This window comes from Homo sapiens, chromosome 15, assembly GCF_000001405.40.
Source record: "Homo sapiens chromosome 15, GRCh38.p14 Primary Assembly".
Taxonomy (NCBI): Eukaryota; Metazoa; Chordata; class Mammalia; order Primates; family Hominidae; genus Homo; species Homo sapiens.
In genome coordinates, this window is record NC_000015.10 from 33,592,700 (window position 1) to 33,605,520 (window position 12,821).

At 39.9% G+C, this 12,821-nt stretch overlaps 1 protein-coding gene across 20 annotated transcripts in view; it reads left to right on the forward strand.

Moving 5' to 3' along the window:
- The window catches only part of RYR3 (ryanodine receptor 3), a 555,136-nt gene that overhangs the window by 281,733 nt on the left and 260,582 nt on the right, over window positions 1–12,821 (forward strand). For all 20 annotated transcript variants that reach the window (XR_001751370.2, XR_001751371.3, NM_001036.6 and 17 more), the window contains 2 exons: window positions 8,720–8,853; window positions 10,424–10,665. Coding sequence is in view for 18 of the 20 variants with exons in the window: in NM_001036.6 (NP_001027.3) it covers window positions 8,720–8,853; window positions 10,424–10,665 (376 nt within the window). In the remaining 2 variants the exon portion in view is untranslated. The remainder of the gene's footprint in view (window positions 1–8,719; window positions 8,854–10,423; window positions 10,666–12,821) is intronic.

Consider the following 12,821-nt stretch of genomic DNA (forward strand, 5'->3'; position numbering starts at 1 on the left):
CAGTCAGAAAGTACAGTTGCAATGTCTGCATGCCCCCCATGGTGGATTAGACTTATCTGCACTCCCTTTTCTTTTCAAAGAACCTGTGAACCCAGAAAATCTGAGACAGGTCTTAGTTAATTTGGAAAGTTTATTTTGCCAAGGTTGAGGACGTGCCCGTGACAGAGCCTCAGGAAGTCCTGACGACATGTGCTGAAGGTGGTCCGGGCACAGCTTGGTTTTAGACATTTAGGGAGACGTGAGACGTGGGACATCAATCAGTATATGTAAGAAGTACAATGGTTCAGTCTGGAAAGGTGGGACAACTTGAAGCAAAGGCAGGAAGACCGGAAGCTGAGAGGGAGCTTCCAGGTCACAGATAGGTGATACACAAATGGTTACATTCTTCTGAGTTTGTGATTAGCATCTCCAAAGGAGGCAATCAGATATGCATCTATCTCAGTGAGCAGAGGAGTGACTTTGACTAGAATGGGAGGCAGGTTTGCCCTAAGCAGTTCCCAGCTTGAGTTTTCCTCAGTGATTGTGAGGGCTAAAGACATTTTCCTTTCACATTTCCCCACTTTTCTGTTTTTTTAATCTTTTGGAGAAAGCATTTTACAAGAGAAGAGTCTCTGGTCTCAAGTTTCATCTGATCTCTCATAGCTAGAAGGGTTTATTCCTAGATGGGTAGGTCCCAAAAGCTAATTTTTAGGAGGTTGTGAAGTCCCATATCCTGTGAACAGAAAACAGTGGGGAGGAAGGGAGAGAAAAAAACAATGAACAAAAGAACAATCCTGGAAAAATCCATATAGGCCACATTACTCTGAAGTCCATACATTAGTAGGCAGGTATGAAAGTGGCTTATGTACGTAAACAGGTTGCTGTTATTTTCTTCTGAAGTTTATTTAAGTTGTCTGGCTTCGGTACACAGGGTTTTAAGAAAGCACAACTTAGTTTTCAGTGACTCCAAATTAGGAAAAATGGAAAAAAGAAGGGAAAAAATTTGAAAACATTATTTCGAAGACTTTTAATCAGGAAAAATTAGAATTCAGTCCCAAACTGTAGAAAATAATAAAAATTGAAAAAGATACTAGGCAGACCAGAATCTAACAACAGGTCTACTTGAAACATAATTTTTCTCTCTGCAGTTTCCCATTTTCACTGAAGACAAATCATGGTAGGACTGGTTTGCTTTATTATACTTGGCCTAATTATTTGTATACAGTGCAGCAAGGGTAATTAGTTTTTACATAGGCTTTTAAATGGGCTTTGATGGAACTTTGTTCCATAGCAGGAATCTCAGATACAACTTCTTAAAGCTGAGCCCAGCCATGAATTTGTACCATCAAATACCTATGAGTTGGGTGAATTTCCTCTCCTCTGGAGGGTCCAAGATAAACCTGGGGCTTCTGCACGTGTCAGAAAGTGACATTCTTTACTTACCTCAGAAACCCTATACATGGACTGTGTACACAAAATATGAGGCCATTTGTTCCAAGGGCTTTATTGGCTCCATAAGTCAAGTTTGATTCCTTAAAGGAAAGCACACCATTCCAGTCAAAGCCTTGGTAAAATAACCAGTGTATCCAACTGTGCCCTATTACAAAAGAAAACTGATTCTTATTGTACTTATGCAAATAACTCTATTGCCATGAATTGAGACTACTCACAAATAGTTTCCAAATTCTGGAGAAGTTAGGTAGAGAGAAACAAATATGCTCCAAATTTTGTTCACAGGAGTGTTCTTTACTCAATTGTTAAAAGCCGTAAATAGCTTAAAGGTTTTCTTAACTCTGTAAAACAAAACAAAGTATCAGCAACATTTGAAGCAAAAAGTCAAAAAGATTACTTCAGTTTTTTGTTGCTTCAGTTAATTCAGTTAACTCCTGTTACGTTTGATAGCCATGAACATTTCAGCTCTGCATGAGAGTTCTGAAAGTTTTTTCCTTTATTCCAATGTCACAATTTCCAAAGTTATCAGAAAACCTGCATTTAAGTGCACCTGTTAGAGTCCTACAGCTGATTATAAACCCACCTTTTAGAGAAAGTTTCAAACAAGATAAAACAAGACAGCTTTTTGTGGATGAAAAAAAGTTTTAAGGCAGCCATAGTTAAAAGAAACAATTGACAAGGAAATTTGTTACCTCTGTGGCACGCAATAATTTTAAAATGACAATTATGATTATTACTGATAATGTACACTAAGGTACATCAGAATTACAGGAGTTTTCCATAATTTTGGAATACACACCAATAACACATTTATACAAATATATCCCAAAGAAACCAAATACCATTTCATATTTGACAATGCTTCCTGTATAATTTTTATACCAAATAAGCTAAATTATGTCATTTTTGGACTTTAGGGAACCTAATGTCTTAAAAGATTAGATTAGAAAAAGACATAATTTATAATTTGATTTTGGAAAGTTTGTCAAATATAAAAGGTTTAAAACACTTGATACTACAAAATAGGATTACAGGTCATTGTAAAGTCATTTATTTAAGTGATAATTCAAGCATTTCAAAAAGTGAAAACCTTCATTCTTTGAGAGAGAAGACTTAATTTTCTAAACAAGGAAGCCCTAATAGAAACAGCATGAAGTCAATTACGTTTGCTTTCAAACTTTTATAAACAATTTATAAAATTTAATCTTGATTATAAAATATAACTTCCGTAAGCCTTTTGTAACCTTTATAATCTTTATTAAGAAGTTGGTTAATGCTTCAAGAAAACCTTGTTAATCTGACACAGGGGTCCATATACTGGTTTTGCATCAGTTTGCCTTTAACATTAATAATTAGTTTATAGAGGAACTGCACTTATTTTATCTTTCAAAATTGGCCCACCTTACAATCTTATAATCTTACACACCCACCTGTTTGGAGACAGTCCCTGGGCCTTGAGGAGTTGAATAGCTTTAATTTCTTGCCCTGTGTCTCAGGAATGCAGTTTATTTTGATTGACATCTTCTATCGGGCCTGAAGATGAGCCTTCAATTGCTATCAGTGTTTAAGATTTAGCAGGACTTGGTGTCCTTTTTAGACCCAGGAGTTAGAGCCCTGTAACTCAATGTTACAAGAACTTTAAAAGCACATACAGGAAGATACATGGATGTAATAATGTAATAACCTTAATTTAAAAAAAAATTTATCTCAGTTTTTTTCCCTAAGCAAACCAAAACTTCATATGACAACTTGATTGTGTGAATTTTTTTTAAAGTGTAAATCCTCTTATTGTGACTTACACTGACTGCTCATGACAGGGTTGGACTTTCTGATTTATTCTGAACATCCCTCCTTTTTAAAAAATCAGTGATTTTATTTTAGGACTAAATTTACCATACAAGATTCTTTCTTATATAAAATTATTTCTCTTTAAGTTTTTCACCTCAAAAAAAAAAGCCTCTTTATTTTTATAACTTTCTTTACGTCTTTTTTATTCCTGGTTCCTTTTACCTTGTTGTATACATAACCTTTAAGTTTTGAATTAGACAAAACTTGTTCACTTTTTTTTAAGGACACACTTTTTTTTTCTTTAACAATAATGTTTTCCTACAATATGTATTTATTGGAAAATACCCAAATAGTGAAATATCTATTATTTGATTTAATATAGCTTTATATTCTAAATTATGACCAGTTTGTCTACAAATATTTGTGCCATTACATTTACCTAATTGTTTTGTTTACCTAGATTATTCACGAAAACTGTGACAGTCATTATTTAAAGTTATAAAACTGCCGTTGCAAAATTATAACTGAGACACTGAAAAGAGATTTGATCTGACCAACTCAATATTGTTCTTTTTTTGGGGGGGGGGGATTTCTGACTTCTTTTTATTTATTTATTTTAAGTGGATGAATAATACTTGTACATGTTCATGGGGTACATAGTGATGTTGTGATACATATAATATACATGGTAATCAGATCAGGGTAATTAGCATGTCCACCATCTCAAACATTTATCATTTCTTTGTGTGGGGAATAGTCAATATCCTCCTATTTGAAACCATATAATATATTATTGTTAACTATTAGATTGGTGCAAAAGTAATTGCAGTTTGCCATTCCTTTCAATGGCAAAAACCATAATCTCTTTGCTATAGAACACTAGAACTTATTCCTCCCATCTAGCTGTAATTTTGTATCATTAAACAAATCTGTCCCTATCCTTCTCTTCCCCCACCCCTCCCTCTTAACCTGCAAGCTGTCCTTGTTCATTCCTGGGCATAGGCCGAACTAACTTTGAGAGGAACATAGTTTGTAGTTTAGCTTTGAAATAGACAATAACAGTTCTTTCCCAAAACAAACCTCCTTATTGCCTGTGGACTAGACTGCCTAAAGCCACCGGATTAGAAGTTACGGTAATCTTACTAAATTCAAGATACAACTATTATCATTAAACCCTTATCAATGTCTTATTTATTACAAATTACAAAAGCAAAGATTATTCTGTTTTGGGCTGGGCTTGTAGTTTTGTAACCCCTATGCCAAATTTTGACACCTTACAGTATTTTGGCAGGGATAAGTATGAAATTGCTTGATGAATAAATGCAAACAAAAATGTATGCTGGGCAATACTTAAGGCATTTATAATAGTAGTTTACCAGTAATTTTAAAGCTAGCTTATTTATTAAAGATTTCACTGGCCAGGCGCAGTAGCTCACGCCTGTAATCCCAGCACCTTGGGAGGCTGAGGTGGGCAGATTACGAGGTCAGGAGTTCGAAACCAGCCTGGTCAACATAGTGAAACCCTGTCTCTACTAAAAATACAAAAAATTAGCTGGGTTGTGGGCGCCTGTATTCCCAGCTACTCAGGAGGCTGAGGCAGGAGAACCGCTTGAACCCGGGAGGCGGAGGTTGCAGTGAGCCAAGATTGCACCACTGTACTCCAGCCTGGGCGACAGTGCAACAGTGTGAGACTCTGTCTCAAAAAAAAAAAAAAGATTTTACTTAAGTTACAGGAACTTTAAAAAGCATTTTATTTAGTCTTTAAATAGGAACTTTAAAATAAGGACTAAACAGGAACTTTAAAAAGCATTTATTTAGTCTTATTTAGTATATAGTTTAAGAGCTTTTATTTTTTAAGCCAATTATTTAGAGCTCTTTTATATATTGTTAGTAGTAAAACATTCTGTACACACAAAAAAATACATATAAAAACTTATGAGGCGTGCCAATGGAAGTACATTTTATAGATTTATAAAGACTCCTCCCCCACTTTTTTTTTTTCTGTCTTAGACTTTCAGATTCTTGATAACCTGTTTCACAACCCTAGGCAATTGTCAGCTAAATAGCCTTAAATTTGCACATTAAGGGAAACAACTCAAGTGAAAATCAAATAGCAAAATTTACATCATAAAGTACAGAGAGAAAAAGTCTGGTGGTGCTAGAGGGAGACACTGTTATTTTTCTTGAGCCAAATTAAACATAAAATTAAACTACACCTTCCTTAAAAACCCAAGAGTAGCCTCTGCTGCAATAACTATTTTAATTACAAAAAAAAAAAAATCAGATGAAAATGGAATTCAGTTAACTGAGAAGAAAAAAAAATTGCTCAAAAAAAAAAAAAAAAGACAAGGCCTTAGGAGAGAAAAACAAACAAAAAACCAAAAACATGAAGACCTTTCAAATACAAACACGCACACTTGGATGTTAGCCTTTTAACTAAGCTGACTTTTAACCATTGAGCTCCTTTAAAAAAGTTTTTTTTTAAATCTTATTACCGTATTTCTGCTAGGACAAATGCTGCTAAACTAACAACGATCACACAAATTGTACGATTTCTGAGCACTCTAAGTGTAAGCAGAAATTAATACCAGCTGGTTGTTAAATGCTAACTTTAGTCGTTTAAAAGGAATTTGCAAGACAGAATCCCAAACCAGTTTCTTACCTAGTGATGGGTCTTAGGCTATAGACTGCTGTCTGCCAGCCTAGAAGCAGGACAAAAAAAAAAAACTCATCTTCCCTGTTGGAAGCAAGCTCAAACTCCATAAAGGAGTTACCTGCCTTCCATCATCATGGAAGCAGGAAAACTTGCCTTCCTGTTGGAAGCAAGTAAAACTAAAAAAAAAAATAGGAGTTGGCTGGGTGCAGTGGCTCACGCCTGTAATCCCAGCACTTTGGGAGGCTGAGGCGGGTGGATCACAAGGTCAGGAGATCGAGACCATCCTGGCTAACACGGTGAAACCCTGTCTCTACTAAAAAATACAAAAAAATTAGCCAGGCGTGGTGGCAGGTGCCTGTAGTCCCAGCTACTTGGGAGACTGAGGCAGGAGAATGGCGGGAACCCAGGAGACAGAGCTTACAGTGAGCAGAGATCGAGCCACCGAACTCCAGCCTGGGAGACAGAGCGAGACTCCGTCTCCAAAAAAAAAAGGAGTTGTACAGCAAAACAGACTTTAGATCTCAACCTGAAGTTTTGGGAGATTAGGGATTCTCTGGAGGGAGTACTCTCAGACCTCAGCAAATTGTCCTATTGGTTTAAGCCATAAGTTAGCTCATGCTGGTACCAAGCACCGATAGGAGATTTGTCAAAGGTCAGGGGCACCTCCACTCAGGATCCCCCCTGTGGTTACCAAAATGTGAACCCAGAAAATCTGAGACAGGTCTTAGTTAATTTAGAAAGTTTATTTTGCCAAGGTTGAGGACACGCTCGTGACACAGCCTCATTAAATCCTGACGACACGTGCCTAAGGTGGTCTGAGCACAGCTTGGTTTTAGACATTTAGGGAGACATCACTCAATATATATAAGAAGTACACTGGTTCAGTCTGGAAAGGCAGGATAACTTGAAGCCAAAACAGGAAGACTGGAAGCGGACAGGGAACTTCCAGGTTACAGATAGGTGATATACAAATGGTTACATTCTTCTGAGTTTCTGATTAGCCTTTCCAAAGGAGGCAAATCAGATATGCATCTATCTCAGTGAGCAGAGGAGTGACTGAATAGAACGGGAGGCAGGTTTGTCCTAAGCAGTTTCCAGCTTGAGTTTTCCTTAGTGATTTTGGGGGCCCAAGGTATTTTCCTTTCACAAACCCATTTGAACTATTTTAGAAAAGGAAGTTTATCTCCATTCCCCAGTTTTACCTGAAGGAGTGTCTCCTAAAGCAAAACCTAAACAATGTCAACTCTGATTCTTTAAGTAGCATCATTTATTTATAGATGATGCACTGCTCTGTTAGGCTGTGTGCTTTTTACAGAGCCTTTTTCTCTTTGCTGTTCCTACTGTATGTGGATTAAGCCCTGCTTTCCCTCTGGCTGTGACAGCAAGTCTCCCACAGCCATCACTCCAAGGCAAAACAGATGAAATGTGTAATAGGCCGACTGAAAAGTATTTCATTTCCTGGCCATCTATGGCTCTTTTCTTAGGGTGAGAAATTAGCCTCTGGATTTCAAGTTTCCACAGTTGATGTCTTTCATAGAGTGCTAATGGTAAGAGTCCCCCATAAAACTGCATTTGGGATTCTTTTCTGCTTGTCCCGTAAATGTGCTTTGTATTTATCTGGAACAAAACTGTCATTCAGGGAGTCAAGTAGAAAATTGGTTTGTGAGAATTATGGATACAAATGCCATGAACACCTTGAAGCTATCAAACCCCACTAAGCATTGAGTCTTCAGTGGCCACTTTGAAAGACTGAAATGAGGCTGCCTGCCTCTCTGTTGGCGCAACCTGCCATATCGTGGCTGTTATTTGTCGACTGCTGTTTGCGCATTCCTCTCTGTGAAGGAGAGCAGGAGGAAGAGAGCCTGACTGGCCCGGCACAGTTCGCTTTGCCATGATAGGAACAAAGAAAATCTGAATGAAAGAGGATACAGTGCAAGGAGAGGACAGAGGAGAGGTGAGCGTGCAGGACAAGGCAGACAGAGACTGTTTTGCAGCTGCCTAGGAAGTGGGAATAAGGGGCAAAAGCAGTTTAATGTCTTAGATTCATGGGCCACCTGGGATCTTGAAAGTTTGTTCTCCTTCTAGATGGGAGAAGGAGAGCGGGTAAAATATTTAGAATACCAATCTCCAGAAATTAAAGGGTATCTTCATGAGTTTTGATGATACCACAGCAAAAGACCGAAGAACAGGAGTCTGCCCTACCATCACCCCACCTACAGGAGATTCCCAAGCTTGCTACGTGCAAGACCTTAGCCAAATGGGAATCTTACGTGCCTTTTTATTAAGACCTGTAATATTTTATTTAAGGCCTTAAAATTTTGTTAAGACCTCCGCTAATACTCAGTGCCAAGCACCATCAGGGCTGGGTGAGAGTGTGCTGCTTGAGTTTGAAGTCCACAGAGGGTCTTTTATCCTTCTGCTCTGTGTTTTCAGAGCTCAGACAGTGAGCAGGGCCTGGATTTTGGGCCCTAGATGCCTCGCCACACCTTAGTCCTGGCCTAGCTAGGATATTGTCTTAGACAGTCTGTCTTCAGAGCACAGCCTCTTACTTACTGTAATAGAGCAATGGCCACCGATGGTTTGCATCGTTTGGAGGGAAGGGGCATAAGACTACAACAGAGGGGCTAGAAAGAAGTCCAGACTCATTTTCCCAAGAAGCAGTAGGCTCTGAGGCATCACTCGCTCCTTCTGGGTAAGAGGCAAAGCTTCCTTGGCTCTGAGCTGGCTCTCTACCCGTCACCTAGCCCCCACCCTTTATGGACTCCTTCCCTCATGCATTGTGGTGGTCCTGCCTGCTGTGCCCTCCTGGTGGTCCTAAGGTTTGGTGGGTGTGTCCTGCTGCAGGTTCTGGATATCCTGTGCTCCCTCTGTCTCTGCAATGGGGTTGCAGTGAGAGCCAACCAGAATCTGATCTGTGACAACTTGCTGCCCCGGAGAAACCTACTCCTGCAGACACGACTGATTAACGATGTAACCAGGTAAGGCCACCACCACCATTCCAAATGCCAAGCATAGTTCTGCCTGTCTTGTCCCCAAGCAGGAAAAGAGGGCTCATCTGAACTCCAAAGTTGCCCACCCATTGTTTCCATGGTGATACAAGTACATAAGACAAGACCAAGCAAATGTGCATTTCCTATGACTAGGGCCTCCAACACCTTTAGCAGAATTCCTCAAGCTTTTCTGTTTAAGTAGCTGAGGATAGAGTATGTGTAGCATCTGAGTGCTAAAGAATTTGACCTGAGGTGGCCTACCGTGTTTTCTTTTAAACAGTAATGCAACTCTTATAACTTCATAATATATTCATATTTATTTTTATATACCAACTTTTTTTCTGTAATCTTTTCATAGAATGGATGTCCCAAGTGAGACTGTGGCTTCTTGCATCCTCTGGCTCATGGCCATGTATCTGACTGCTGTCTGTGAGGATCAGGGTGAAGAGCAGGGTCCCATGCAGGACCCCTAGCTTGCTAGTCCATGCATGTGGCTGCACGTGAGTCATGTGAACTCACTGGACTGGGACTAGGCAGGTCTGCGGTTTTGTAGCCACTTTCTACCTAGGCCTACACACTAATCCACAATGGCAAGAATAGAATCTTCCCTCTGAAGTGCAGAGTGGCCCAAAGACCTGAGCTGTCACACAGACTTACTTTCTTCATGGTGCCAGCCTGGTTTTTCTTTGCCTACCCAAAATAGGGCATAGCTCCAGCCCAAGAACAGTTCGTCTCTAAAAGTATGATTCCTAACATAAAAACTCTAAGTGGTGTATCTTAAGCTTTTAACCACTTTGCTGGATACATTAAAACCTCTTTCCCTTAATGAGGTTGCCTAGTAATGACTTCTTAATGGTTTTAAGAGACCAGTGTTATTAATAATGCTTCGGTAACAAAGCTGCTATACTGAAAATAAGGGTGCTTATACCAATTGACCAAAAAATGGAACTCAAGTAAATTTTTTTTAACTTAAAAAACAAAGGTTTGTAATCTTACAAATCTGTATAACATTTCAGCATCGTTGCCCATGGTTGGCACTCAGTAAACGTTGGTTGCCTTGAATGGAATATTAAAAGAAACATCCTTTATGTTTTGTAATGAAAATGTTGTCCTCTTGCATCACACTAAGAACTTGATCAAGTGTTGAGGGTCCTAAGCTTTTTCTAGTCTTTTTTTTTTTTTTTTTTTTTTTTTTTTTGGAGACAAGGTCTCACTCTGCTGCCCAGGCTGGAGTGCGGTGGCATAATCATGGCTCACTGCAGCCTTGAACTGCTAGGCTCAAGCAGTTCTCCAACCTCACCCTCGCAAGTAGCTTGGACTATAGGTGTGCACCACCATACCCAGCTAATTTTTGTAGAAACAGGGTCTCTCTTTGTTACCCAGGCTGATCCCAGACTCCTGGCTTTTAGAGATCCCTCCCATCTTTTGAGCAATATGAAATACACAGCATTGCTCTTGTCCTACGTGTAAATGGGCCGTTGCCTCCTATGGTCTGGTTCAACTTGCTTTCTCAGCTTTTAAGGGTGTGTAGATGCCACTTGCCCATGTTTACTTTCAGTATCCGGCCAAACATCTTCCTGGGAGTCGCGGAGGGCTCAGCCCAGTACAAGAAGTGGTACTTCGAGCTGATTATCGACCAGGTGGACCCCTTCCTAACAGCAGAGCCCACACATCTGCGGGTGGGCTGGGCCTCTTCTTCAGGCTATGCCCCATACCCAGGAGGTGGAGAAGGATGGGGAGGCAATGGTGTTGGTGACGACCTGTACTCCTATGGCTTTGATGGACTTCACCTTTGGTCAGGTGAGTACCTTGCTAAAGCTTTGGCTCATAATCTCACTGGAAATGATGGAGGCTCAAATTATTCAAGCTGAAATGACCACTTCCATTTGAAATGATACAGACTCAAGAGTCTCAACTAATTAAACGGTTAGGTGGAAAAGAGTATCAGATTAAAATAAGACTCATTTATACCATTACTCAGACAGTTCCTAGCTACATGGTCTAGTGCAGATCACTTCTCTCAAGCTCATTGTATCTGTATGAGCCTTATTGTACGGAATCGTTAGGATTATATGAACAGAGACTCAGCATTTATTCACTGAGCAGTGAGTTACATACTTTCTCATTTTTCTCTTATTTTATCCTCACAGGGAGCCCTTAAGGTAGAAAATATTGACCTCATGTGACAAACGTGTAAACAGAAGCATAAAGATGGTTCAGTAATTTATTCAAAGTCACACTAGGAAGGATCCAGACCTGACTACAAGTCCATAATCTTGTCAACACAGCCTGTTGCTTCATAATACAATTTATAAAATGTCTGGATCCATGCCTAACACACAATAGGTGCTAACCTTTTTAAACGAATTCAGGGCTTCCTTTTTTTAGATAAATAATTGATGCTTTTCCCAAGCATGTCCATGGCCCGTGCCTGTGGAGGAATGTCTTGACTTCTGCCTGGGTGAAAAACGCGAGATTAACTCTCAGGCTTTCATCAAGAAGAAGAGCCCTACCTCTCCTGTCTGTTGTCCAAAGCGTGTATTTTCTGTATCTTTTGCAAAACTGCAATTGGAGACGTCGCGTCCCTTATAGAAATCCCTTACGTAAGCATTGTGCCGTGTGCCCGTTACATAAGTAACCATGACACACATTCTTCCTCAAATCCAGTACAAAGGAAAAGTTTACCTCTACAGGACAAACCTGTATATTTTCTTCTGTAACTGGTAGCTACATAACTTATCGCATTTTCTTCCTTCCCTTAGCTTTCTAGTTACAACCTAATTGCCTCATGCCAATGATGAAGTCAGCTCAGGTCCCAATGACATGCTTCTTTTAATTGGTCTTCATTTTCAGTTGGTCCATATGGATTTTTTTGTTGTTGTTATTTTAGGAGCCATGTTGCATTCAGCTTCAACACTTTAAAACTTTTAGGAATGCTGTAAACATTTATTTGTATACTTATTTATCCTGGATCACTGCCATGGGGGAAGAATGAAAAAAAGCCTTCGTTCATGTTCTGTGTGTCCCAGAGGACAATGTGGTCCTGACATAAGTGGATTCAAAATGGCAGGATGATGGGGTCATGTGAAGGGAAAGTCTTATCTTGTGCTCTCATCCTCCCAACTTAACCTTCCCTAATTCTTCATGGAACGTGGAGCTTCCCTTTGTTCTCATAGTGTTATCATGGAGCCACTGAGTCTGTGGCTATGAAGTAGTGACCTTAAGCTTAGGTTATCATCAGATATCATAAGGTTCACAGGAAACTGTCTCTGAAGAAATGATCTGAGAAGAAAGAATCCTTATGCTCATGCACCTTTGCGGCTCCTGAGTGTGGTAGGATTAAGTCTGTGAAGGAATTAACAAGACTGACTTGTAAAAATTGTTTCACACTCCTGCTGACTGCTGCCTATCTCCCACCAACTCGCCACCATAGCCCAAGAATGTTCTCTGGAGCCCAGCTACACCTGAGAGGGCTCTGCATGAAGATTGGCTAAGGAAGTATGAAGCATACCTAGACCCTGGGGTGAAGCAAATTGGACCCTTGTTTCGAAGAGAAACTAATCATTCTCAAAGGAAAAAAATTTAGTCTTTTTCTGACTTTACAGCACTGCATGGGGCACTTAGTGTATTCCTGTATCCCTTTGTAGAAATTTGAGGAATGAATACATCAGTGAGTCAGGAGGCATGGAACCCATTCATGGTGCATCCATAGAGGGCTACTCTGTGCATTTCAGGACCTGAACATCCTGTCTAATTGTGTATCATTCCAGGAGTGTACAGTTCCCCATCCTCTCCCTCATCCCTCCTGTCTCCTCTGAAGGCAAGGAAGCTGGGTGCTCCAGGCTCATGCCGAACATCACTAGCAGTGGCTCCTGTAATTGGAGAAGTGGGAAGAAGGCTGGTGACTCAGCTTTTCAAAAACTGATTGTGGCTCTCTGAAATGGCCTGCACTTGAT